General features: G+C 41.4%; 1 long non-coding RNA gene across 1 annotated transcript, besides 1 other annotated feature; it reads right to left on the bottom strand.

The window, feature by feature from the left end:
• Positions 897–1,507: an enhancer, noted in NCBI's record as "H3K4me1 hESC enhancer chr10:23164275-23164885 (GRCh37/hg19 assembly coordinates)". NCBI's record gives its function as "activates a minimal SCP1, AML or CMV promoter by ChIP-STARR-seq in naive H9 embryonic stem cells {active_cell/tissue: H9 hESC(naive)}" and the evidence as "EXISTENCE:reporter gene assay evidence [ECO:0000049][PMID:30033119]".
• On the bottom strand, positions 8,629–22,753 carry LOC105376451 (uncharacterized). The gene is made up of 3 exons (XR_930749.3): positions 22,635–22,753; positions 12,337–12,444; positions 8,629–8,764 (listed from the first exon to the last, which is right to left on the bottom strand). It is a non-coding gene; the product is annotated as an uncharacterized LOC105376451 (long non-coding RNA).
• Between the last annotated feature and the right edge of the window lie 3,876 nt (positions 22,754–26,629).

The raw sequence follows: 26,629 nt of genomic DNA, 5'->3' as shown, positions 1-26,629 counted from the left end.
AAAAGCTATTAAAATAAAAAATATATATTAAAAATTTAAAAAAAATTAAGTATCAAAACCCTGTGATAAAGAGAAAAATTGTAAAGCAGTCACAAGGAAAAAAAAGCACTTTAGAAGCAGAGGAACAAATATAAAATATATAGACATATATAGAGAGTTTTTATACAGTCTCAAAAAAGGACATAGTGGAATCTCCACTCATGTAGGAGGGAAAAGGGCAAATATTCTGCTTAAATACAAAATAGCTTCCTTCTGAGAAGAAAATTTTATGGTCTGCTTCACTTAATTTTTTGTATCACAGTTTGATTTTAAAGAAAAAACTTGCAAAACCTGCTATCAGATTTTAAACTTTCAAATTTGTAAAATACCTTGAAATGTATTAACAAAGCATTGTCGCACAGCAGATTTTCTAGATGAATCTTAATTAGCATATTCATTGTTATGTAAATGATTCTTTTTGCTGTGCTAGAAAAATGCATTCTAGCACAATGTAGTTCTTAAATAATTTGAGCAACCTTTTTGCTCTGTTAATTGCCGCTCAATTTTTGCATTCTTTATTTATACCCTTTTTGCACTATGACTTTAACATTTCAAGGGATAGGATGTATGAAGCACTTTGTAAACTGTAAATCATTGAGGAAAGGTAAAGTAAAATTATTGTAATCTTTGGTTTCACTAACCTCTGCTACAGCAGTTTGGGGTGTTACTTCTCAGTCGTATGTATCTAGTGATATTAAATCTTCCCTGTCTCTCTGCCTTTTACATTTTTTAGTAGGGAATTATACCATGAGAGTTAAGTAACCAAAGACAAAATAAAGTATGCCAATGGCATTCGAAATCTGAAATCTTCCTAAGAATGAACCTGCTTTTTCTTGCCCTTTGGCTTTATATGTATAGTTAGAGAAGAATGAAGTCTGTCTGTCCTAGGCATTGCCAGTTCTAAGACACTGCATAGTGATGAATTAACTTTACTCAAAGAGAAGTCTTGTCTTTGTCCCTGCTCTCCGGAGTTAACCTTTAAACCCTTGGAATTTCTAGAGTAACGGGAGTGTCTTTGTTACTCATGATCGGCCTCTTAAGCCACACCTGATAGTTTGTGTTAATCAGGTGATTCAAGGAAGACCCTTGGTACATCACACTAAGAGATGACTCAGTGTGAGGCCCAGGCCACACCGATAGGCTCAAGGTGAGCACTGACCACACCAGAAAGACCAACCATGTGGTTAGGGGGTCGGGACTTTGAGCCATATGATGCTAGACTGATATCCAAGAAGGGGAGGGGGCTAGAGATTGGGTTTAACCATGTAGGCCATGATACAATCAGTCATGCCTATGTCATGGAGCCTGGAGAAAATCTTTAGATACCAAAGCCCAGGTGAGTTTCTTAGATTGGTGACATTCTGTATATAGCCACACATCAACATCAGGAGAGTAACGCATCCCGAGGGCATGGAAGCGTTGTGTTTGGGACCTTCCCAGTCCCAGATTTTACCTTATGATCTTTTCCTTGGGCTGGTTCTGAACTGTATCCTTTGCTGTAATAAAACTGTCATCCTACATATAACGCTTTGCTGAGTTCTGTGACTCATTCTAGCACATTATCAAATCTGAGGGAGTCCATGGGGACCCCCAAATTTGTGGCTGGCCAATCCGAAGTGAGGGTGGCCCTGGGCATCCCTGAACTTGTAGCTGGTGTCAGAAGTCTTGGGTAGATGTAACATTCTGGAGGACCGTGCCTTTAACCTGCCTTTTGTTATAGGAGTGTCAGCTGTGTTTAATACCTTTCCTCACCTATTATAAGAGTCACAGCCAACACTCCTATAACAAAAGACAGGTTAACAAGAGAAAAGCTTAACTATTTAACCACAGATTTACATGACATAGAAGCCTTCAGATATGAAGACTCAGAGACCCAGGAATACTGTCTATTTTTATGCTTAGGTTCAATGAAGAATGGACAGCCATGTAGAAATGTGATTGGACAAAAAGACTATGATCTAATGGTGATAGACTGAGGCGGGGAACCTATCAAGAACCATCTGCCCAGACTTTTTTTGGCGTCTCTGAGCATCACTTCTTCCTCCCGAGAATAGGGCAGCACCCCTAGGGAGAGAATAACTTTCCTAGGTGTTATGGCTTGCTTTGCGGGAGAGGAGTTCTAGTGTTTATGACTCATTCTGGGGAGGAGGAATTCTGATTTCTATGGCTGGCTTTAGGGAAGAAGAGGGGTGGAAGACATGAGGTAAGAGTGTTCCTGGATGGAAGGTCTTGACTATGAATTGTCCAAGCTCTTGGCTTGTTGAACAAAGACTTGAACAAAATGCACAAACAAAGCAACAAAAGAACAAAGCAATGAAAGACAAATGGCAACAAAAGAATGGAGTAACAAAGGCATAGATTTACTGAAAAAGCAAAAGTACAATTCACAGAGTAAGGGCAGGCTCAGGCAAGAGGCCCAAGAGCCTCCTCTACTGCAATGCTCCCCGGGCTTTTTATAAAGCCAAAAGAATTCGGTAACACCCTCAGCTGCGCTTCAGAGGCCTCCAGCTGGTTACACCCTAAGAACAATTGGCCTGCAACCAATCAGAGGCTGAAGTGGAGAGTTGGTCCACATCAATCAGAGGCTGAAGTGGAAACTTTTGTCTTGTTTTTACAGGAGTGAAAAGGTGGCCTGTGTGCTGCCCAGTCTTGCCTAGAACTGGCTGCACCTGCTGTTCTGTTGCTTATGCAAACTCCTATTCCTTTGCTTATGCCCCAACCCTTGGCTACCCTAATTCCCTATCCTCCTGCCTCAAGAGGTCAGAGAGATCTTGTTTCTGAGGCTCTCCAACGTCCCTCAGTTTAAAGTACTCAGTGTGCCAAGTGCCATAATTATGAGTGTCATGTTCTGAGCCCCAACAGGGCTAAGGCTGGGCAGTCTTTGTTCTTGTGATCCTTATGGACCACTGAAGACGCTAGAGAAAAAATTATTAATACCTATGCGAATAAACATGAGACACATAACAGTGGGCCTTACCTACTCTTAGGGGTCAAGGAAGTTTCCCTAGAAGTGGAAGAGCATTTGAAGAAGAGAAATGAGTCCATGCAAAGGCTCTGAGACAGGAAGCAGCACATCACAATGGAAGAATTTACAAGGGGCTGCAGTGTCTGGACAGCAGAAAGTGGGGCAAGCAGAGGTGGGAGAGAAAGAAAGTTGTCAGTTCATGCAGTCCCATGCATGCTGTTAAGGACTTTGGAGTTTGTTTTAGAAAAGTAGAAAGCCTCTGAAGTGACAATTAGACTTGCATTTTTAATAGTTACTTAGTAGGCATGAGGAGAGCCTAAATCCACTCCAGTGACATGGCTGGTACAAGAGTAGTCCTAGTAGCACAGCCAAGGGCGGTGGAGGAACGTGGATGCATTCAAGATCTGCAGAAGCTAGAATCAACCATACTTGGTGATCAAATGGAAATTGGAGTACTGATGCAGGAGATCCCAGGTGTCAGGCATGACTAGGGACAACAAGGGGCTGTTCACTGTGAAAGGAAAATGAATCTTGGGACCCCAAAACCACTAAGCCAAAGGGAAAAGTCAAGCTGGGAACTGCTTAGGGCAAACCTGCCTCCAAATCTATTCCTAAAAAACATAGCTACTAAGATTTAAAAAAAAAAAAAGCTACACACCTCCCTCCCTCACAAGGAATTTCACTGTGGACAAAGGACAGACAGAACTCAAAGTCATTCCTCTGCTCACCGAGATAAATGCATATCTGATTGCCTCTTTTGGAAAGGTTAATCAGAAGCTCAAAAGAATGCAACAATTTGTCTCTTACCTACCTATGACCTAGAAGCCCCCTCTCCTCTTCCAGTTGTCCCGCCTTTCCAGACAGAACCAATGTACATCTTACATATATTGATTGATGTCTCATGTCTCTCTAAAATGTATAAAACTAAGCTGTGCCCCGACCACCTTGGGCACATGTCGTTAGCACCTCCTGAGGTTGTGTCATGGGTACGCATCCTTAACTCTGGCAAAATAGGCTTCCTAAATTGACTAGGACCTGTCTCAGATATTTGGGGCTCACATCACTGAGGCAGAAAACACTGGAAGAGGACAGGTTTGTTGGGGAAGCATCCCCAGCTCAATTGGGCTTGTTGAACTTGGCATTGCTATAAACCTTGTGGTTGGAGATGTCTACTGTAAAGCTATATCGTGGGTCTGGAGCTCAGAGGAAAGTCTCGTGCTGCATATGTAGATCTAGGAGTTGTTGGTATATAGAAGATATCAAATTCATGGGAGTGATAAGCTCACCTACGTAACTGTACCAGGTTTGTTTCCCAACATGTGTGTCAACGAAAAGAGTCAAATTATGTAAAATATTTGAAGAGATTTATTCTAAGCCAAATATGAGTGACTATGGCCTGTGACACAGCCCTCAAGAGGTCCTGAGAACATGTGCCCAAGGTGGCCGGGGCACAGGTTGGTTTTATACATTTTAGAAAGGCATGAGACATCAATCAACTGCATCTTAAATGTATTTCTTAAAAATACATTGGTTTGGTCCAGAAAGGTGGGACAACTCAAAGCGGGGGGTGCAGGGAGTGCTTCTAGGCTATAGGTAAATTTAAACATTTTCTGGTTGACAATTGCTTAGAAAGGAAATGTTCAGGTTAAGATAAAAGATTGTGGAGACCAAGGTCCTTTTGAAGTCTTATAGTGTCTGCCCTTAGAGAGAATAGATGACAAATGTTTCCTATTCAGATCTTTAAAACGTGCTAGACTCTTTCCAGAGTCAGATGGGAAAGTAAATCACAATATATAGGGTTAAATAAAACCCATCTGAAGAGATTTTACGGTTTGTAGGGCATGACTCCCCAGACCTCTTAGACAAGAATTTGGGCAAAATGAAAAAACTCAGAGCTTAGTCCTCCCATGGCAAGCAAATACACTAAGACACTAGGTTGCAGCAGAGAAAGAGGTTTAATCATAAGGCAGACAAATGAAAGAGATGGGGGGAAACCTCAAATCTGCCTCCCGGAGGAGTCTAGGGATAGGGATTTTAAGAGGCTTGGACAAGTAGCGGGCTGAGGTGTAGAGATGGTTGTTAGGTTGAAGAGTGTAGGATGAAGTCACAAGATAGATGAAGAAACTGTATTCTCATGTTGATTCCGTTCCTCTGTGGGGTTCTTCAAACTGGTTGGCACCACCCATTTTGCTGGAATTCAGGATCTGAAAAACATCTTAAGCAATTCTGCAACAAAATCCTTAGGATTCTAATGTCAGAGAGTCTAGCTATAGAAACAATGAGAATTTAGTATCTAGTATCAGTGAGAACGCAAATGGTCAGTATCTAGTGAGATGTGGCTAGTCCAAATTGAGGTGTGCTGTAAGCCTGATATGCACACTAGATTTATGTTTATTAAGCAGCTACAAGAAAGTGGGGCAGAGTGCAGTCTGAGGAATGTTTAATTGTAAGTATTATATTTCTGTCCAGAACCTGGCATGCAATTCTTGTTAACTCTATGAGGGTGATTTCACATAGGCAGAAAATGTGCACCAAGAGAAGCTCTGGTACAACTTTATCTACCACGTTTGCTCAAACTCAGCAACACTTTAGAGCGTTACCAGGGAGTAAAGGCTACCATTGGGCAGAAGGTAGGTGGAAGACCCAGAGAAAGTAAAACTTCAAAGTATTTTTCAGGTTTGGATTATAATCCTGGAAGACACAATGCCAAAAGCCATAATGCTTAATGTGTAAATCCCAAAAGATCAAAATCCCTAAAGTATACATTAATTCTCTAACATATAAAATCCTGAAAATAAGTCCAGGCGCCATGGCTCATGCCTATAATCCCAGCACTTTGGGAGGCTGAGGTGGGAGTATTGCTTGAGCCCAGGAGCTTGAGACAAGCCTGGGCCACATAAACCCCACCTCTACAAAAAAATACAAAAATAGCCAGGTGTGGTGGTACGTGCCTGCAGTTCCAGCTACTCTGGAGGGTGAAGGAGGGAGGATGGCTTGAGGCTGGGAGGTAGAAGTGGAGTGAACTGTAATCACGCTACTGCACTCCTGCCTGGGTAACAGAGCAAGATCCTGTCTCCAAAAAATTAATTAATTAGATAAAACCCTGAAAATCACAGTCACAAGATGGTTGCATTATGTTAGGCGGAATAGGGAATGCTCATTTCCATGTATATCAAATAATGGAAGAATTTCAAAAAGAGCAACACCACATAGAAAATCAACGTGGGCCAGGCGTGGTGGCTCACGCCTGTAATCCCAGCACTTTGGGAGGCCAAGGCAGGCGGATCATGAGGTCAGGAGATCAAGACCATCCTGGCTAACATGGTGAAACCCCGTCTCTACTAAAAATACAAAAAATTAGCCAGGCATGATAGCGGGCGCCTGTAGTCCCAGCTACTCGGGAGGCTGAGGCAGGAGAATGGTGTGAACCTGGGAGGTGGAGTTTGCAGTGAGCCGAGATAGTGCCACTGTACTCCAGCCCAGGTGAGCGAGACTCCCTCTCAAAAAAAAAAAAAAGAAAATCAATGCGAACATACTCACCAAGGAAAGCCATGCCCAATTAAATAAAAAAAAAAACAAAAAACTACTCATTGCGATGCAAGACTTCAAAATACAATGAATGATTGTGATAATCAGCCAGCTCTATGAACTACCTATGTGCAATTGCCCATGGTCTATCCCTATGATACACTTTTCCATATGTCAGATTTTCTTTTCAGTTTGTTTTTGTTTTTTAATTTTTTATATAGTTACTGTTTTTTTTTTAACTAAAATATGGGAATTGGAAAGCTTTAATCCCTTGACTCATCTAGTGTTGCCAGCCCATTTCCCTGCTGAGCTGTGAGACTGCATAATATCACAGTTTGTCATGGCGTTCAGATATGTCAGGGGTTCAATCCTATCCTGTGAGATAGAACAAATGATGGAACAGGGAATACTCAGCCTACCCTCAACACCAAAGGATGTGGCTCTCTTCAGAATAAGGTGTGATGAAATAGTCACTGTATTAGGGTTCTCTAGAGGGACAGAACTAATAGGATAGATGTATATATGAAGGGGAGTTTATTAGGAGAATTGACTCATGCGATCACAAGGTGAAGTCCCACAATAAGCCATCTGCAAGATGAGGAGCAGGGAAGCCAGTCCAAGTCCCAAAACCTCAGAAGTAGGAACGCTGACAGTGCAACCTTCAGTCTGTGGCCGAAGGCCCGAGAGCCCCTGGCAAACCACTGGTGTAAGTCCAAGAGTCCAGAAGCTGATGAACTTGGAGTCTGATGTTCGAAGCCGGGAAGCATCCAGCACAGGAGAAAGATGGAGGCCAGAAGACTCAGCAAGTCAAGTCCTTCCATATTCTTCTGCCTGCTTTATCCTAGCTGTGCTGGCAGGTGATTAAATGGTACCCACCCAGACTGAGAGTGGGTCTGCCTCTCCCAGTCCACTGACTCAAATGTTAATCTCCTTTGGAGACACCCTCATAGCCACTCCCAAGACCAATACTTTGCATCCTTCAATCCAATCAAGTTGACACTCAATTTTAACCATCACAGTCACTAAGCTATGCAGAGACTGGGTTTTTTTTAGCCAATATCATTTTCTATCTTTAACCACTTAAATAGCTATGTGGCAGACCCACCCTTGTGATGTCGTTCATCTTTCGGGTGCTTGAAAATATCCAAGACACTTTTGCCCTCAAAGAAAGGCACCCCACAAGGAAGGACAGGGCAGAAAGAGAGAGAAAGAGGGAGCCATTGCAGTCACAGCAGGAACGAGGCATTCTGCTTCCTGGGGGAGCCATGCTGATCTGTGCTGCTGTTGCACAGCTCTCTGCGGAGGAAGGGCCTTGAAGTCATGGACTCTCCCCTCCTAGGAGAAGGCTTCTGAAGGGAATGGCAGGGAGGTGTGCGATTTCATCTCTAGCTTGGCAAAGTGTGCTTTCCTGCATTCATGCTTAACTCCCTCTCACCCTTTTTTTTTTTTTTTTGAAATGTTTCACTCTTTTTGCCCAGGCTGGAGTGCAATGGCAGGATCTCAGCTCACTGCAACTTATGCCTCCTAGGTTCAAGTGATTCTCCTGCCTCAGCCTCCCAAATGGCTGGGATTACAGATGCCCACCACCACACCCAGCTAATTTTGTATTTTTAGTAGAGACAGCGTTTCACCATGTTGGCCAGGCTGGTCTCGAACTCCTGACCTCAGGTGATCCACCAAAGTGCCTCCCAAAGTGCTGGGATTACAGGCATGAGCCACCGCATGCCGGCCTCTCACCCTTTCTGCAGCTCTGGAAAGACGCTACATCTATAAACCTGAGTTTCTTTTCCAAAATTTTTTTTTAGAAAAATATATGAAATGCTTGGATGTTTGCTCCATCTCTCACCCTCCTAGCCATGCACTGTACTTATAGAGTGTATGTTGTATACCCAGTTCTTCTTTGGCCAAGAGAAAACTTTGCTTGATCAAAAATGATCACAGCTTTGCAACATCCCATAGAAGTTGATATAACTGAGAGTTATTTTCTCATTCTTACTCCACTCATATTTAATGACCACATGGAGAAAGAAAGCAGATTCAGAAGGTATTTGAATTACATCACCCTATATTCGAAACTAAATGAGAGCCAAGAGAAATACACACACATCCAGTTTATTAAGTAGTCAGGGATGTCCTTCTCTTTCAACTTGCCTTTCCCGGCGTGGCCCCTTGAGGGTTTCTTCAATTTGTGAAGATCCATAATGCAGATTCATGACCAGGATTGGAACTGCCCTGAAAACCAAAGCACTGGCTTTCAATGTGCACCAATTACTTTCACACCAACCTAATGTATAAGTGAGTCTGCTTTATAGAGTGGGAGGCAAGAAAAGCAAGGTCTTGATATTTGTGATATCAAAAGAAAATGTAATGGGAACACAAGGGAGCCTCTGTTAATGTTCCATCTCATGATCTGGGGTCTAGTTAAGCAGCTATGTTCTTCGTGAAAACTCATCAAAATGCACTTATTATTTATGCATTATTCTGTATATTTTTATGCATCAGTAAAAGGTTCACATTTTAAAAATCCATCATCTGGCTGGGCGCGGTGGCTCACACCTGTAATACCAGCACTTTGGGAGGCTGAGGTGGGTGGATCACTTCAGGTTGGGAGTTCAAGACCAGTCTGGCCAACATGGTGAAACCCCGTCTCTACTAAAAATACAAAAATTAGCTGGGCTTGGTGGCAGGTGCCTGTAGTCCAAGCTACTCAGGAGGCTGAGGCAGGAGAATGGCTTAAACCTAGGAGGCAGAGGTTACAGTGAGCTGAGATTACGCTACTGTACTCCAGCCTGGGTGACAGAGCAAGACTCCGTCTCAAAAAACAAAACAAAACAAAACAAAAAATCCATCATCTAATTTGTCTAACAAAAGTCTAAGAAGCAGATTGTGTCCAATCCAATTGGTGTTATCCAATATGGTACCCACCAACCACATGTAGCTATTGAGTACTTGAGATGTGGCTAATCCAAACTGAGGTGTGCTATAAGCATAACATGCACACTAGATTTTAAAGACAGAGTATGAACAAATGTAAAATATTTTATTAATAATTTTTATATAGATTATATGTTGAAACCATATAGTACAGATATATTGGGTTAAATCAAATACATTTTTTAAATTTCAATTGTTTCTTTTTGCCTTTGTTAATGTGGCTGCTAGGAAATTAGAAATTATGTATGTGGCTCTCATTATCTTCTTTTGAACAGCATGGTCCTAATGTCTCTAACTCTCCCACTAGACTGGGTGTGAAGTTAGTTACTGTAGATCCTGGCCTCACACACTCACACCTGATGGATATTTTCAATTCCTATAGCAATATCACAGAATATTTTATATTCTAGGGGGAAAAAGAATAATTACCAATCTTGATTTGTAAAGTTGGCTTAAATATATACACATTATACGTGACTTTTTTTTTTAATTAACTGTGAATAGTGTAAAATGTTTTCAAGTTGAAAATAGTAAAAGTAACACTTCTAAAATGAACAAATCTAGCCAGGCACAGTAGCTCATGCCTGTAATCCCAGTACTTTGGGAGGTCAAGACAGGAAGATCACTTAAGCTCAGGAGTTCGAGACCAGCCTGGGCAACACAGTAAGACTCTATCTTTGCAAAATAAAAATTAGCCAGGAGTAGTCCTAGCTACTTGGGAGGCTAAGGCGAGGGGATCACTTGAGCCCAGAAGTTCAAGGTTACGGTGGGCTATGATTACGCCACTGCATTCCAGCCTGGGTGACAGAGCAAGACGCTATCTCTAAAAAAGATAAAAATAAAAAAATAAAAATAATGGGCAAATCTGAAAAGTTTCAATTCAGTCAGTCATGAGTGCAGAACCACCACGGCAAAGGGAAAGAACCTTTCTTGGGTTTAGAGTCTTCCCCTTTGTCTAATATTTCTGCTTTCTGTTGTGTACTTTTCCGTAATTTGTATTCAAGCTGTGAAAAACATTCTTCCATCAGCAGAATCTGGCACTATAGCAGGCTCTTCAGAAAGAAGGGTGGGCATTTTTAAAATTCACTCTGGATTTGTTAAGTGGTTTACAGCTGAGAAGCCAGAGGAGCTGACTTTTCACTGTATAAATTTTGAAAGAGCACAAAGGCAAGTATCTCTTTAAGAATTATGATATTCTGTGGGCCATATCATAGGCACATTATTAAAATATGCGCTCTTTTGACTATTATAGGAATCTAAAATTTGCTAATTATGTAATAGCACACTAACAAAAGCATAATCATAGATACACAGTATTTGATGTATATCCCAGTTATTGGCAAACCTTGAAACTAGTTACATACTATTTCTAGAAAAATCAAAATTTGTCCCAAAAGTGTTAGACTCAAGTCAAGACTAGAAGTGCTTAAGTAGGCTTAGGAAAATTACCATTTCTTCCATGACAGTCACCGGGGAAACATCTATCAATGGAAGTTTAAGAAAATTGGGCACAGTAAGCAAGAGTGAAGGACGAATCACAGCAATTGCCTTTAAGCATTCTCCCATTTGCAGAGATTCTAATCCTCACTCTAAAATGAATTATTTCACTGCAAGGGGTTTGCAGTGAGAGCATTTTGTTTTTGTTTTTGCTTTTTTAGAGACAAGGTCTCACTCTGTCGCCCAGGCTGGAGTGCAGTGGTACAATCTTAGCTTACTGCAACCTCGAACTCCTGGGCATAAGCATTTCTCTCGCCTCAGTCTCCTGAGTAGTTAGGACTATTCCTGACTAATTTCTTTTTTTTTTTTTATTTTGTAGAGACAGGGTCTTGTTATATTGCCCAGGCTGGTCTCATACTCCTGGCCTCAAGTGATCCTCCTGCCTTGGCCTCTCAAAATTTTTGTTCTTTTTATATGTAACACTAACCATTTTACATTCAACAGTCATTGGAAATACTCAAAGATTCAACATTTATAGGACAAACATTCTTTGAAAGTAGCAACACTGTCTAACAAATTTTAGTTGATATTCAACTTAACTATAATATTCAGAACAAAAAGACTGGGGAAGATAAGAGATGGAGGAAAGAAATGAGACTGTCAAATCAGGGAGAGAGGAGGAATGAAAATGAATGGTACATTTTCTGGAAGTCATGAAAGTCATCAACCCGAGTTTAATATTTGATCTGAATGGTAAAGGAAGATGGTACTGGTGATATCAGAAGGGAATTCTAGTTCATTTACATCTCACAAAACACATCAACAACCTAATCTAGAAGATGAGCTACCATACTTATATCAAGATATTTCCAGTATGTGAATCATAGGATTCCTCCTTTTCTACTTGTAAAGCCCATCTGAATTCTTTGGAAATTTCTCTGATTACAGGAAACAGCAGATAGACTGATGAAATACCTATAGTTACATAATGCTAACTAGTTAATTTTTAGAGCCTCTTAGGTTGAGAATTTAAAGTCTATTTTTCTTGTATCAACCCAAAAGGCATCTGTTCCAGGCATTTGTTAGCTAGCCCCTCAGCATACATTAGGTTAATTTTATGTATCAACTTGACTGGGCCACCGGGTGCCCAGACATTTGGTCAAACATTATTCTGGGTGTGTCTGTGAACGTGTTTCCAGATGAGATTAGCATTTGAATTGGTAGACCTAGCAAAGCAGTATATCCTCCCTAATGCGAGTGGACCCCATCCAATCAATTGAAGACTGAACAAAACAAAGAGGCTGAGTAAGAGAGGGCTCCTCCTGCCTGACTGCTTGAGTTGGAACATGGGTCTTTTTCTCGCCTTCAGACTCAAACTGAAACATCAGCTCTTCTTGAGTTTCAAGCCAGCTGGCTTTCAGACTGGAACTTACTCTATCAGCTCTCCTGGTTCTCAGGCCTTTGGACTTGCACCAAGACTATGCCATCAGCTCTCCCTGGTCTCCAGCTTGCCAAGTACAGATCTTGGAACTTCTTTGCCTCTGTAATCATGTAAGTCAATTTCTTACAATAGATCTGTATATGTAAATGTGTATATTTATATACATATTGTACTTTTACATGTATGTGACACCTATGAATGGATGGCTTCTTTTGGACTCATCATATGTAGCTCTAGCTCTGTCCTGGGGAGAGGAAATTTGTAGGAAAGATCTTTTCATTTCTCCAGTTACTTCATTTCTCTCATGTAGATGGGCTTTGCTGCCCATAGACAGGACGGACTTGTTGCCCCTGCCCATCATTGTCAGAGGGGAACAGGAATGCACCTTCCCCAACTATCCCACCTCACAGTATCTGCTCTGAAGCAAATACATACAGGAATCCATGAAAGTTTATGCAGTTCTTGACTGAAGGGGTTTGAGTGCCTACAGATTTAGGATGTGCTGGGGCAAGTGAACAAGTTCATTTTTTTTTCATTTACATCATTTTGTCTTTATTTCTTGCAAAGAAATACCCTGATTGTGTTATGCACAGAGAGTATTCACATGCTCCCTGACCAGAGTTACTTCACAGTGAAGAATCTCAAATGCAAATCTAATTCTGAAAGACAGAGGAAGATGGTACTGGTGGCATCAGAAGGGAATTCCACTTCGTTTACATCTCACAAAACACATCGACAACCTAATCTAGCTGATGAGCTACCATACTTATATCAAGATTTTTCCAATATGTGAATCACAGGATTCCTTCTTTTTTACTTGTTTTCCAATATAACTCTATAAAATATATTGTGTCAAGAGATAATCCCTGGCAGTAAATGACAGCATATTTCTGTCAATAGGGAACTATTACATGTAGTATGATTGTGTTATATGAAACTGGAGATGTGATCCTTAATTACTCCATTTTTCTTTTACTTTATTTTATTTGGTGACATATTAATCTCTCCAGATCTGGTTTCTTGTGGAAGAAATTGAGATCATGCACTACAGTGATTTTTTCCTCTGTATCTTTCTACCCTTATCTTTGTAAGAAGCAATGGTTTGTCTACAAAGATGTGTTGCCTCACTATTAAATTTTAGAAACCAAGACCTACTATCTAATATATGTCATTTATTTTCAAGCTGCTTTATTCCCGGAGGCAAAAAAAAAAAAACAACAAAACAAACAAACAAAAAAACCTGTTAGTGATTTTTCTTTTCTTAATTTAAAGGAAAGTGGAAATGATTTTTCTTTTTTAATTTAAAGGAAGGTGATTTATCTGAGAACTGTCAACAAATAAATGATCACAGACCATGTACAATCAAGTTGACTGAGAGTAAGAATACTGTAGTGTCCAAATACACAGACTCTAAAAGGAGAAAACACAGTTTTGAATCCTGGCTCTTAAACTGAATAAATGTGTACCTTTGGGCATAGCATTTTACCCCTCTGACCCTGTTTCCTCATCTGTAAGAGGGGATAATGATGGCTAGCTCACAGATTTGTAAGGATCAAGTGGGATAAGTTTTGCATGCGCCTGGCACATGGTATTCGTTCATTCTACGTTACCTTTTATTATTTACCATTCCCCACACAAACTATTTTGAAGAGTAACCTTCAAGTTCTTCCACCAAGCACATTAGGGAAATACAGAGGGGGCTGATGAGAACTGGGCAGGATCCCAAGTTTTCTGCCAAGCAGTTTGGGGTTCAAGTCAGGGCTACAGTGTAAAAGGACCAAGGTGCGGGTTCTATCTCCTAAGGGATGGCCGCAGCCAGGGCTTGGAAATCAAGTAGCTCTGGTTTGAAGTGCTAGCACCACCGCTTCCCAGCTGGGCGATTTTGAGCAAGTCATTTAATACTCTGCAATCTCATGTTTCCCCATTTATAAAATGGGAATAATAATGTCCCCCGTAAGGTGGTGGTGAAGAATTAAATGTGATCTTATATATAAAGCATTTAGCATAGTGCCTAACAGTAACATGTCAACAAGTGATAGTAGTTGTATTTAATATTGGGGAAGGGTTTATATTTTCTTTGTTAGTATTGATGTTCTTTAGGCTGGTCCAACTCTTTATGGGGCAGGAGTGTTTTGCAAGTCAGTGTGCAGTCAATTTCCATGTTCCTCTTTAGACCTGTGGGGTCTATAATCGCAGAAATCATTTCAGACCCAACCAGACAATAGGTTGGTTTATTGCCTTCCTCTTGGGTCTGGCTGGAGAAGCTCAGGACTGGGTCCTGGTGAGCTAACATGTAGAAAGAAGCCACTGGGAGGTCCTGCAGGAGGCCGTAGTTCACAGTATCTTTACTTCTTCCTTTATTCTGCATTCCACATAACATGAGAAACACAGGTGAATCTTTAGTTAATGTGTTAAACTACCTTAAAATAGGTAGTTGAGCAGATGATTACGTTTTATATGTTGCCATTTATTCCATCGAAATGTTGAAGATTCATTTTGCTTTAGTCATTTTATAACTTCTGTAGAGAAAATGCAAAGCTGTAAATTTGAATAGTTCTATGATACTGCTACATCTTTTTGGGTACAGTGGATTAGACTGCTGGACACATAAAGGGTTATTTACAGGAATTAGTAGTATCTGTAATCATCATTATTGCAAACAATCACTTTCTTAGCCTGGTCTAGGTGATTCTGCATGTGTAAGGACAGTATAACAAAGTATCACATTTACATGTTTAATTCAATCTAATTTTTTCCAAATTGTCTTGTTCATTTTTAATGTGTTCTTTTATCCAGAAATACTTTCTTGCATATGATTTTTTTCTGAATAATGATATTGTTTAGAAATGTCTGGTAGGATCCAGACATACTGTTCTCACTGATTTTCTATTATGGGGAACTTTTGGAGCTTCCTATTTGATATTTGCAAACATTCTGTCCAGGTTTGAGAGAGGCAGGTGGGCATATGACTTCCCCTTACATTCATTCATGAAAATTGATTTGAGTGTTTTTTAAAGAAAATCCACAAAGGTTTCCCCTTTCTACCCAAACATCTTTATCTCTAGATTCCTTTATTTTATTTTATTATTATTATACTTTAAGTTTTAGGGTACATGTGCACAATGTGCAGGTTTGTTACATATGTATACATGTGCCATGTTGGTGTGTTGCACCCATTAACTCGTCATTTAGCATTAGGTATATCTCCTAATTCTATCCCTCCCCCCTCCCCCCACCCCACAACAGTCCCCGGAGTCTCATGTTCCCCTTCCTGTGTCCATGTGTTCTCATTGTTCAATTCCCACCTATGAGTGAGAACATGCGGTGTTTGGTTTTTTGTCCTTGCGATAGTTTGCTGAGAATGATGGTTTCCAGTTTCATCCATGTCCCTACAAAGGACATGAACTCTTCATTTTTTATGGCTGCATAGTATTCCATGGTGTATATGTGCCACATTTTCTTAATCCAGTCTATTGTTGTTGGACATTTGGGTTGGTTCCAAGTCTTTGCTATTGTGAATAGTGCCGCAATAAACATACGTGTGCGTGTGTCTTTATAGCAGCATGATTTATAATCCTCTGGGTATATATCCAGTAATGGGATGGCTGGGTCAAATGGTATTTCTAGTTCTAGACCCCTGAGGAGTCGCCACACTGACTTCAACAATGGTTGAACTAGTTTACAGTCCCACCAACAGTGTAAAAGTGTTCCTATTTCTGTACATCCTCTCCAGCACCTGTTGTTTCCTGACTTTTTAATGATCGCCATTCTAACTGGTGTGAGATGGTATCTCATTGTGGTTTTGATTTGCATTTCTCTGATGGTCAGTGATAGGGGCATTTTTTCATGTGTTTTTTCGCTGCATAAAGGTCTTCTTTTCAGAAGTGTCTGTTCATATACTTTGCCCACTTTTTGATGGGGTTGTTTGTTTTTTTCTTGTAAATTTGCTTGAGTTCATTGTAGATTCTGGATATTAGCCTTTTGTCAGATAAGGAGGTTGCGAAAATTTTCTCCCATTTTGTGGGTTGCCTGTTCACTCTGATGGTAGTTTCTTTTGCTGTGCAGAAGCTCTTTAGTTTAATTAGATCCCATTTGTCAATTTTGGCTTTTGTTGCCATTGCTTTTGGTGTTTTAGACATGAAGTCCTTGCCCATGCCTATGTCCTGAATGGCATTGCCTAGGTTTTCTTCTAGGGTTTTTATGGTTTTAGGTCTAACATTTAAATCTTTAATCCATCTTGAATTAATTTTAGTATAAGGTGTAAGGAAGGGATCCAGTTTCAGCTTTCTATATATGGCTAGCCAGTTTTCCCAGCACCATTTATTAAATAGGGAATCCTTTCCCCATTTCTTGTTTTTGTCAGGTTTGTCAAAGATGAGATGGTTGTAGATATGAGGCATTATTTCTGAGGGCTCTGTTCTGTTCCATTGGTCTATATCTCTGTTTTGGTACCGGTACCATCCTGTTTTGGTTACTGTAGCCTTGTAGCATAGTTTGAAGTCAGGTAGTGTGATGCCTCCAGCTTTGTTCTTTTGGCTTAGGATTGACTTGGCAATGCAAGCTCTTTTTTGGTTCCATATGAACTTTAAAGTAGTTTTTTCCAATTCTGTGAAGAAAATCATTGGTAGCTTGATGGGGATGGCATTGAATCTATAAATTACCTTGGGCAGTATGGCCATTTTCACCATATTGATTCTTCCTACCCATGAGCATGGAATGTTCTTCCATTTGTTTGTATCCTCTTTTATTTCATTGAGCAGTGGTTTGTAGTTCTCCTTGAAGAGGTCCTTCACATCCCTTGTAAGTTGGATTCCTAGGTATTTTATTCTCTTTGAAGCAATTGTGAATGGGAGTTCACTCATGATTTGGCTCTCTGTTTGTCTGTTATTGGTGTATAAGAATGCTTGTGATTTTCGTACATTGATTTTGTATCCTGAGACTTTGCTGAAGTTGCTTATCAGCTTAAGGAGATTTTGGGCTGAGACAATGGGGTTTTCTAGATACACTGTCATGTCATCTGCAAACAGGGACAATTTGACTTCCTCTTTTCCTAATCGAATACCCTTTATTTCCTTCTCATGCCTAATTGCCCTGGCCAGAACTTCCAACACTATGTTGAATAGGAGTGGTGAGAGAGGGCATCCCTGTCTTGTGCCAGTTTTCAAAGGGAATGCTTCCAGTTTTTGCCCATTCAGTATGATATTGGCTGTGGGTTTGCCACAGATAGCTCTTATTATTTTGAGATACGTTCCATCAATACCTAATTTATTGAGAGTTTTTAGCATGAAGAGTTGTTGAATTTTGTCAAAGGCCTTTTCGGCATCTATTGAGATAATCATGTGTTTTTTGTCTTTGGTTCTGTTTATATGCTGGATTACATTTATTGATTTGTGTATGTTGAACCAGCCTTGCATCCCAAGGATGAAGCCAACTTGATCATGGTGGATAAGCTTTTTGATATGCTGCTGGATTCGGTTTGCCAGTATTTTATTGAGGATTTTTGCATCAGTGTTCATCAAGGATATTGGTCTAAAATTCTCTTTTTTGGTGCTGTCGCTGCCAGGCTTTGGTATCAGGATGATGCTGGCCTCATAAAATGAGTTAGGGAGGATTCCCTCTTTTTCTATTGATTGGAATAGTTTCAGAAGGAATGGTACCAGCTCCTCCTTATACCTCTGGTAGAATTCGGCTGTGAATCCATCTGGTCCTGGATTTTTTTTGGTTGGCAGGCTATTAATTATTGCCTCAATTTCAGATCCTGTTATTGGTCTATTCAGAGATTCAACTTCTTCCTGGTTTAGTCTTGGGAGAGTCTATGTGTCGAGGAATTTATCCATTTCTTCTAGATTTTCTAGTTTATTTGCGTAGAGGTGTTTGTAGTATTCTCTGATGGTAGTTTGTATTTCTGTGGGATCGGTGGTGATATCCCCTTTATCATTTTTTATTGCATCTATTTGATTCTTCTCTCTTTTCTTCTTTATTAGTCTTGCTAGCGGTCTATCAATTTTGCTGATCTTTTCAAAAAACCAGCTCCTGGATTCATTAATTTTTTGTAGGGTTTCTTGTGTCTTTATTTCCTTCAGTTCTGCTCTGATCTTAGTTATTTCTTGCCTTCTGCTAGCTTTTGAATGTGTTTGCTCTTGCTTCTCTAGTTCTTTTAATTGTGACGTTAGGGTGTCAATTTTTGATCTTTCCTGCTTTCTCTTGTGGGCATTTAGTGCTATAAATTTCCCTCTACACACTGCTTTGAATGTGTCCCAGAGATTCTGGTATGTTTTGTCTTTGTTCTCATTGGTTTCAAAGAACATCTTTATTTCTGCCTTCATTTCGTTATGTACCCAGTAGTCATTCAGGAGCAGGTTGTTCAGTTTCCATGTAGTTGAGTGGTTTTGAGTGAGTTTCTTAGTCCTGAGTTCTAGTTTGATTGCACTGTGGTCTGAGAGACAGTTTGTTATAATTTGTGTTCTTTTACATTTGCTGAGGAGTGCTTTACTTCCAACTATGTGGTCAATTTTGGAATAGGTGTGGTGTGGTGCTGAAAAGAATGTATATTCTGTTGATTTGGGGTGGAGAGTTCTGTAGATGTCTATTAGGTCCGCTTGGTGCAGAGCTGAGTTCAATTCCTGGATATCCTTGTTAACTTTCTGTCTCGTTGATCTGTCTAATGTTGACAGTGGGGTGTTAAAGTCTACCATTATTATTGTGTGGGAGTCTAAGTCTCTTTGTAGGTCACTCAGGACTTGCTTTATGAATCTGGGTGCTCCTGTATTGGGTGCATATATATTTAGGATAGTTAGCTCTTCTTGTTGAATTGATCCCTTTACCATTATGTAATGGCCTTCTTTGCCTCTTTTGATCTTTGTTGGTTTAAAGTCTGTTTTATCAGAGACTAGGATTGCAACCCCTGCCTTTTTTTGTTTTCCATTTGCTTGGTAGATCTTCCTCCATCCCTTTATTTTGAGCCTATGTGTGTCTCTGCACGTGAGATGGGATTCCTGAATACAGCGCACTGATGGGTCTTGACTCTTTATCCAATTTGCCAGTCTGTGTCTCTAGATTTCAAATTGGTTATTTTTCATCTTATTATTATTTAAATCAATTAAAGTTTTGAATTAGAAGAGAATTCGATTAAAATTAAATTACTTTGCCAAAACAGTAAATCAACTTGGGACTAAACTTTCTTAAATTGCATGTGTTCTTTCATTGTTCACTCAGTCAACTTTTTTTTTTTTTTTTTTTTTTTTTTCAGATGGAGCCTGGCTCTGTCGCCCAGGCTGGAGTGCAGTGGTGCAATCTCAGCTCACTGCAACCTCCACCTCCTGGTTTCAAGCGAGTCTTCTGTCTCAGCCTCTCCAGTAGCTAGGATTACAAGTGTATGCCCCCACGCCCAGCTAGTTTCTGTATTTTTAGTAGAGGGGGGTTTTCACCATGTTGGCCAGACTGGCCTCAAACTGCTGACCTCAAATGATATGCCCACCCCACCTTCCCAAAGTGCTGGCATTGCAGGCATGAGCCACTGCACCCAGCCAAATTTTTTCTTTTCTTTTTTTTTTTTTTTTGAGACAAGGTCTCACTCTGTTACTCAGGCTGGAGTTCAGTGGCACAATCATAGCTCACTGCAGCCTCCTCCTCCTAGGCTCAAGTGATCCTCCCACCTCAGACTCCCACACAGTGGGGACTACAGGTGTGTACCAAGCTTGGCTCATTTTTTTTTTTTTTTTTTCCTTCAAAAAACAATGTCCTACTCTCTTGCCCAAGCTGGTCTGGCTCTCCTGGGCCCAGGCGATTCTCCTGCCTGGCCTCCCAAAGCATTGAGATGAGATGGCACACATGAGCCGCTGTGACCAATCTTTATTGAGCACTGACTGTTTTAAGACATTAGGTAAAATACTGTGAGTGAAATAGAGATAGATTAGCAACCATCAGGAACTTCCCTCTGCAGGTTTGTAGTTTCATAGAGAAAACAAGATTTAGATGCAAATGCTTGTAACAACATTTACAGAGAAATCATGTAGACCAGAGGAAAGGAAGAAAGATGAAGCATCAGCCATTGGAACTTGGACAGGAAGGGATTAGTCCTGGCTTGAGGGAGGATTTGTAGCTGCCTCTGTGCATCCTTTCCTGCATTTTCTGACTTTGCGTTCATTCTTTCTTTCACTATTTAATGATACTCTTACCCTCTGGAATGGTTGAGTTAAAAATTACGACCAGGCAGGTGCAATGGTGCTCCTGTAGTACCAGCTACTCCAAAGGCTGGGGCAGGAGAATTGCTGGAGGCCACAAGTTCAAGACCAGCCTGGGCAACATAGCGAGACCCTGTCTTGACACCAAATTTAAAAATTTGCTGGACATGGCAGCACATGCCTGCAGTCCCAGCTGTTTGGGAGGCTGAGGCGGGAGGATCACCTGGGCCAAGGAGTTCAAGGCAGCAGTGACCTGTGATCATTCCACTGCACTCCAACCTGGGCAACAGAACAAGGTCCTGTCTATTTAAAAAAAAAAAAAAGGATAGACATTTCACCGGCTCTTGCAGTACAAAACAGACATAGTCTCTGGGATATATAATATATAAAAGAACCAAAAAAATAATAATAGTACGGGTGCTGATTTTGGATCTAAAAGATTAAGTTCTTGTTGTCTGTGTGTTAATTTAGAAATAGTCCTCCTCAACATTAACATCTACAGACGTTTGACCTAAGGTTTGAAATATTAGGGAATTTATTCTCTTTTTTTTTTTCCTCTGTTGCCCAGGCTGGAGTGCAGTGGCATGATCTCAGCTCACTGCAACCTCTGCCTCCTGGGTTCAAGCAATTTTCCTGCCTCAGCCTCCCAAGTAGTTGGGACTATAGGCACACACCACCATGCCCAGCTAATTTTTGTATTTTTAGTACGGACGAGGGTTCACTATGTTGGCCAGGCTGGTCTTGAACTCCTGACCTGAAGTGAATCAGCCACCTTGGCCTCCCAAAGTGCTGGGATTATAGGTGTGAGCCACTGCACCCAGCTGATTCTCTTAACTGATAAAGGCCAAAAGGAACAAGGATCGACACTGACCAAGGCCTGACCTCCACAGAAGTGCTCCCAGCACAGGGAGGCCGCAGGAGTAGCAGAGAAAAATTCAGGCTGAAATGTTTGCAAACAGACATCCCCAAACACAGCGTTGGCATGAAGGAAACTCAGAGCACATTAGTCACTGCTTCAATGGAGGAGTGGGAAGACCAGCCTCAGCCCGCTGGTGAAGAGCAAAGTTTAAAATAACCCTACTAAATTAGAACAGTGGTCAGGATGCTTTTTAAAGTTTGCTGAAGATAAATGCAGGGTAGGAGTCCCTCCAGGAGAGGGAAGTGAAGTATACAAATAGAAGATAAGATGTGACTGGCTACAGGGAAGGATGTCTTAAAACGAGCCAGCAATGAAAATAGATAAGCTGGAGTCAGTCATAACAGCAGCTTTTTAAAGACTGAACAGTGCCAGGATGTAAAACCAAGTCCCCAGAGGAACCATGAGATCACCCTCCCATTATACATGGTACTAGTCAAACTTTTCTAGGAGCAGGGTGTCCATTCCTGAGTTCTAGAATTAAGGGGCATGGAGAACTTGGAGAACATTCTATCCCTAAAGTCAACCAGGATTAGAAAATGGGACTTCTGCAAAAAAGTAAGGGCTCGAGATTGTTCATTATGAAGAGAAAGCCAAGAGTTGATTAAATTGGCATCTTTAATTGGCAAGATTGTGTATGTGTGTAAATATGTGTGTATGTATGTATATATGTGTATTTAAATTCAGCTATTTTTTTCACCAGGGTACAATCTTTTTAGCTATAATATAAATATTTGGGGTTACATGTTAAGAGAATTGTCTAAAAATAGAGTTCAAACCCCAGTTTGAACAAACTCTGCTCTAAATTGAAAGCCATTTGCTTAGGGGTCAGAGGCCTCCTGGAGGGCCTGATCTTCTTGGTCTGATTTGACTTTATATTGGTAGGGATTACTGCCTAACGATTTATTTTTCTTCATTCCATTATTATTTTTCAGGCATCTTTCTTCTTCCTGGTCTACAGTTTGTTATAGTGTCCTCCCTTATCTACAGCTTTACTTTTTGTGGTTTCAGTTACCCGAGGTCAACCACAGTCCAAAAATATTAAACAGAAAATTCCAGAAAGAAACAAATTATAAGTTTTAAACTGGGTAGCATTCTGAGAAGGGTGATAAAATCTTGAATTGTCCCGCCCCATCCCACCTGGGACATGAATCATCCCTTTGTCCAGTGGATCCACATTGTACTACCCACCCATTAGTCATCAATAGCATCTGCTCCTGACATTCAGTCACTGCCATCAATTATGGTTCGATGATCCAGGTTCACCTGAAGCAGATGGTCCTCCTAATCGTCAGAAAGTCAATAGTAGCCCAACCCTACGTCACAATGTCTGTATCATTTACCTCACTGCATCTCATCACAAAGGCATTGTGGTATCCCACATCATCACAAGAAGGGTGAGCACAGAACAGTAAAATATTTGGAGAGAGAGACCACATTCCCACAACTTTTACTGCAGTATATTTTTAGAATCATTCTATCTTATTATGAGTTACTGTTATTAATCTCTTACTGTGCCTACTTTATCAATTAAACTGTATCATAGGTATGTAGGTATAGGAAAAAACAATATCTATAGGATCTGGTACCATCCATGGTTTCAGGCATCCAATGGGGGTCTTGGAACACATCTCATGAGGATAAGAGGGGACTACCATATTCTCCTGTCTGTGTTTGTAACAAGAATGCTGCACTTCTAGGCACCGAGTTGCCTCCCAACCCCTTCCCCTCTGCCATCAGAGAAACTCTCCCACCTCCTCTGCTCTTCCTGAGCTTCCTTCATGCATCTTGCGTCAGCCGAAAGCTGTCTCTTCTCAGAAGACACTCCTTCCAATTGCCCGGGAATGCCTTTCTCTCTCACATGCACCCTATTATGGAGGTGGGCTGCCATCGTCTTTGCTCCTTGTTCCACTTGCATCCACTACTATTGTTCCCTCTTGCAAAAATTCTTGCTTTTTTGGACTTCGTGGTTTTCAGCTCAACCACTCCTTCCTGTTATTTTCTTCTAGCCAATTCCTGGTCACTCCCTTCCCAGCCATTTGTCAAAGTCTTAGCATGTGGACTCAAAGTCCCACCATCCTGCCCAATAAATTCAACAAACACATGGCGTTCCGCTGTACCAAATGGCCTCTGATTCCTCAAGTTCTCATCTGCAATAGCTCTTCCACTCCACTCAAATCATCCATCCTAGTGCACACACATTGGGTCTTCCTGTCACTCCCCAGTCCCCCACTTGCAGAGTCACTGAAGCAAATGTCCTCTGAGCATCACTACTTCCCCTTGCCCTGGCTGACTCAGCTCCTTCCACTGAGGCCATTCCTCAGCCCCATCAGGATTTCAGGCTTGCAGCTCCATCCTCAGTCTCTCAGTGCCTTGACCTTGTCCCGTCTGCACATCCTCCTCATCTGGCAGATGCCAAGGGTTCAGCAAGTTGATAGCCCTTTTGCCAATACTCTATATTCCCTTGCCCTTTGAGCTTTTTTTGTTTGTTTCCCTCTTCTGGCAAACTCTCACCCCTAATGAATCCAGCTATTTGCATTCCAACCCCCAGCAGCTGAACTCTTCTGAAGAAAGGCACGCAATGGAGCAGACTGGCTTTATTGTAAATGCATAAAAATGAATCTCAGGGCCGAGTGCGGTGGCTTATGCCTGTAATCCCAGAACTTTGAGAGGCTGAGGTGGGCTGATCACTTGAGGTCAGGAGTTTGAGACCAGCCTGGCCAACATGGTGAAACCCTGTCTCTATTAAAAATACAAAAATTAGATGGGCATGCTGGTGCAGCATGCCTGTAATCCCAGCTACTCAGGAGGCTGAGGCAGGAGAATCGCTTGAACTTGGGAGGCATTAGTTGCAGTGAGCCCAGATTGCACTACTGCACTCCAGCCTGGGCAACAGAGTGAGACCCTGTCTCAAAAAAAAAAAAAAAAATGAATCTCAGATGGACCCTCTTACTACATATTTTGATTAACTCACTCTCCTACTTTCCATCAAAACTTCTACAGAGCTTCTCCCCTCCTTTGGTGACAGCCACTCTCACACCACATGCACACACAAACACACGCATCTGCCCCTTCTTCCTCAAACTCAGCAGAAACTTTGCCATCTACAACACAAAGAACATTGAAGCTGTAACAGAAGGACTCTGGGATTGTTCAGAACACTCTTTGCCAGGCTCTGGTGGTGCAGGACTTTTTTGTCTTGCCCTCATCTCTCTGGCTACCCCATTTCCTTTGTACAAACCTGGCCATTAAATATCCACCATGTTATGCCAGAACTTTTCCTCACTCCACGTGCTTTTCTTAGGCATTCTTAGCAATGACAAACTTGCACAGATGACTCACAAATGCATATCTCTAGACCAGACATTCCATCGGCGCCTCCGACCCATCTGTCCACCTGTCAACCTGTCATCTCCATGCAGACATCACAAAGGCACAGCAAAAGTTCCTACCTAAATCACGCATCTTCCCACCTTCCAATCCATGCTCTTCTTCTACCTCTCTTATTTCAGCACAAGATACTACCATCTTTCCTGTTCTACAAGCCAGGTATCTAGGCATCATCCATAACCTCCCTGTCTCTCTCACCCACTATTGATTCTAACACCTTGTCCTGCTCATTTTACCTCCTAAATACCTCTCAAATCCATCTCCACACTAACCCAGGCAACCATCAGTCCCAGCCTGTATAATGTCAGTTGCTTCTTCCTGCCACAGCTTAGACCACCACACTACTCATCCTGTAACCATACTTTACCCTTCTCCTCCACTCAGAAGCCAGAGTGATCTTTTAGAAACATAATTCTGAGAACGCAGCTCTTCTGCTAAAACTATTCAACAGCTTCCATTGCTCTAAGAATAAAGAGAAAATTCTTTATCCTGCTATTTCCTGAGATAGATGCCCTTGGTGGCCGTTTAGGTCATGCTTCTTCATGCCACAGGACCTGTCTCGTGTTGTTCCCTCTATTTGGAAATGTCAGTTTTCTAGCAAAGACTTCTCTTGTGGCTCTGATTGTCAAATTGTTGCCACGCAATCAATGGGCTTGCTGCCTGATGCACACAGAGGCCAATATGATGGCACCAGCTTTTGAGAAAAGAAAAGCTTTATTGTCATTTAACTCACAAGGAGACAGGAGGAAATGCTCAAGTTTGTCTCCTGGAGCTAGGTGCTGAGGCAGGTTTTATAAGCATAGGGTAATGAGGTGTGATCTGATTGGATCTCACAATGAGGTGATGCCAGGAGGCATGAGCTGATTGGATCCTGCCATGAGGTGATGACCGCACTCAATCTGGTTGGATCCTGGATTCTGCCATGCGGTGCCTGCTGCTGCTTTTTTTTTTTGAGATAGAGTCTTGCTCTGTTGCCCAGGCTGGAGTGCAGTGGCACGATCTAGGCTCACTGCAACCTCCGCCTCCTGGGTTCAAGCGATTCTTCTGCCTCAGCCTCCTGAGTAGCTGTGACTACAGGCGAGCACCACCATGCCTGGCTAATTTTTGTATTGGCCAGGATGGTCTCAAACTCCTGATCTCATGATCCGCCCACCTCAGCCTCCCAAAGTGCTGGGATTACACATGTAAGCCACCGTGCCTGGTGCAGTGTCTGCTTCTTAATTCAGTCTCTGCTCCTCAGGCTGAGCATTTAGGTTCTTGTGGTTGCACACTTGGGCATGGTCAGGTTACATAAGCTTCAACCTCGGGGGCTCTTGGCAATAGAGAAACAACTCACAACTTTGTTATGTAAAAGTTGAGCCAGATTGGTCTGGTGCAGTTAGAAAGTCTCCCTACTATAAAATATCCTTCAATATGGCTTCAGTTTTACAACTATTAGTATGATTATTTGACTGATGTCTTTCTCCCCTTGCTAAGGAATGCTGCCCTGTGAGCATAGGGACCCTGTAAGGGCCTGGTTCCTTATTGTCTGCCTAGCACATGACAAAATGTCAAGCACAAAGTAGGCAATCAATCAACTTTTGTTAAAGGAACAAATGAATAAATGATCAGTATTATGTCTTTGTGTATCTCTATAGAAATATTGATTAATTTATCATGTAACCTATAACTTAGTTCATAGGAGAGGATACCATTCTTTAAAATCAACTCTTGGCCAGGTGCAGTGGCTCACACCTGTAATCCCAGCACTTTGGGAGGCCGAGGCGGGTGGATCACCTGAGGTTAGGAGTTCGAGA

Source organism: Homo sapiens, chromosome 10, assembly GCF_000001405.40.
Source record: "Homo sapiens chromosome 10, GRCh38.p14 Primary Assembly".
Taxonomy (NCBI): domain Eukaryota; kingdom Metazoa; phylum Chordata; class Mammalia; order Primates; family Hominidae; genus Homo; species Homo sapiens.
The sequence above is the reverse complement of the archived record's forward strand: the minus strand, read 5'-3'. Positions and strand labels throughout refer to the sequence as shown.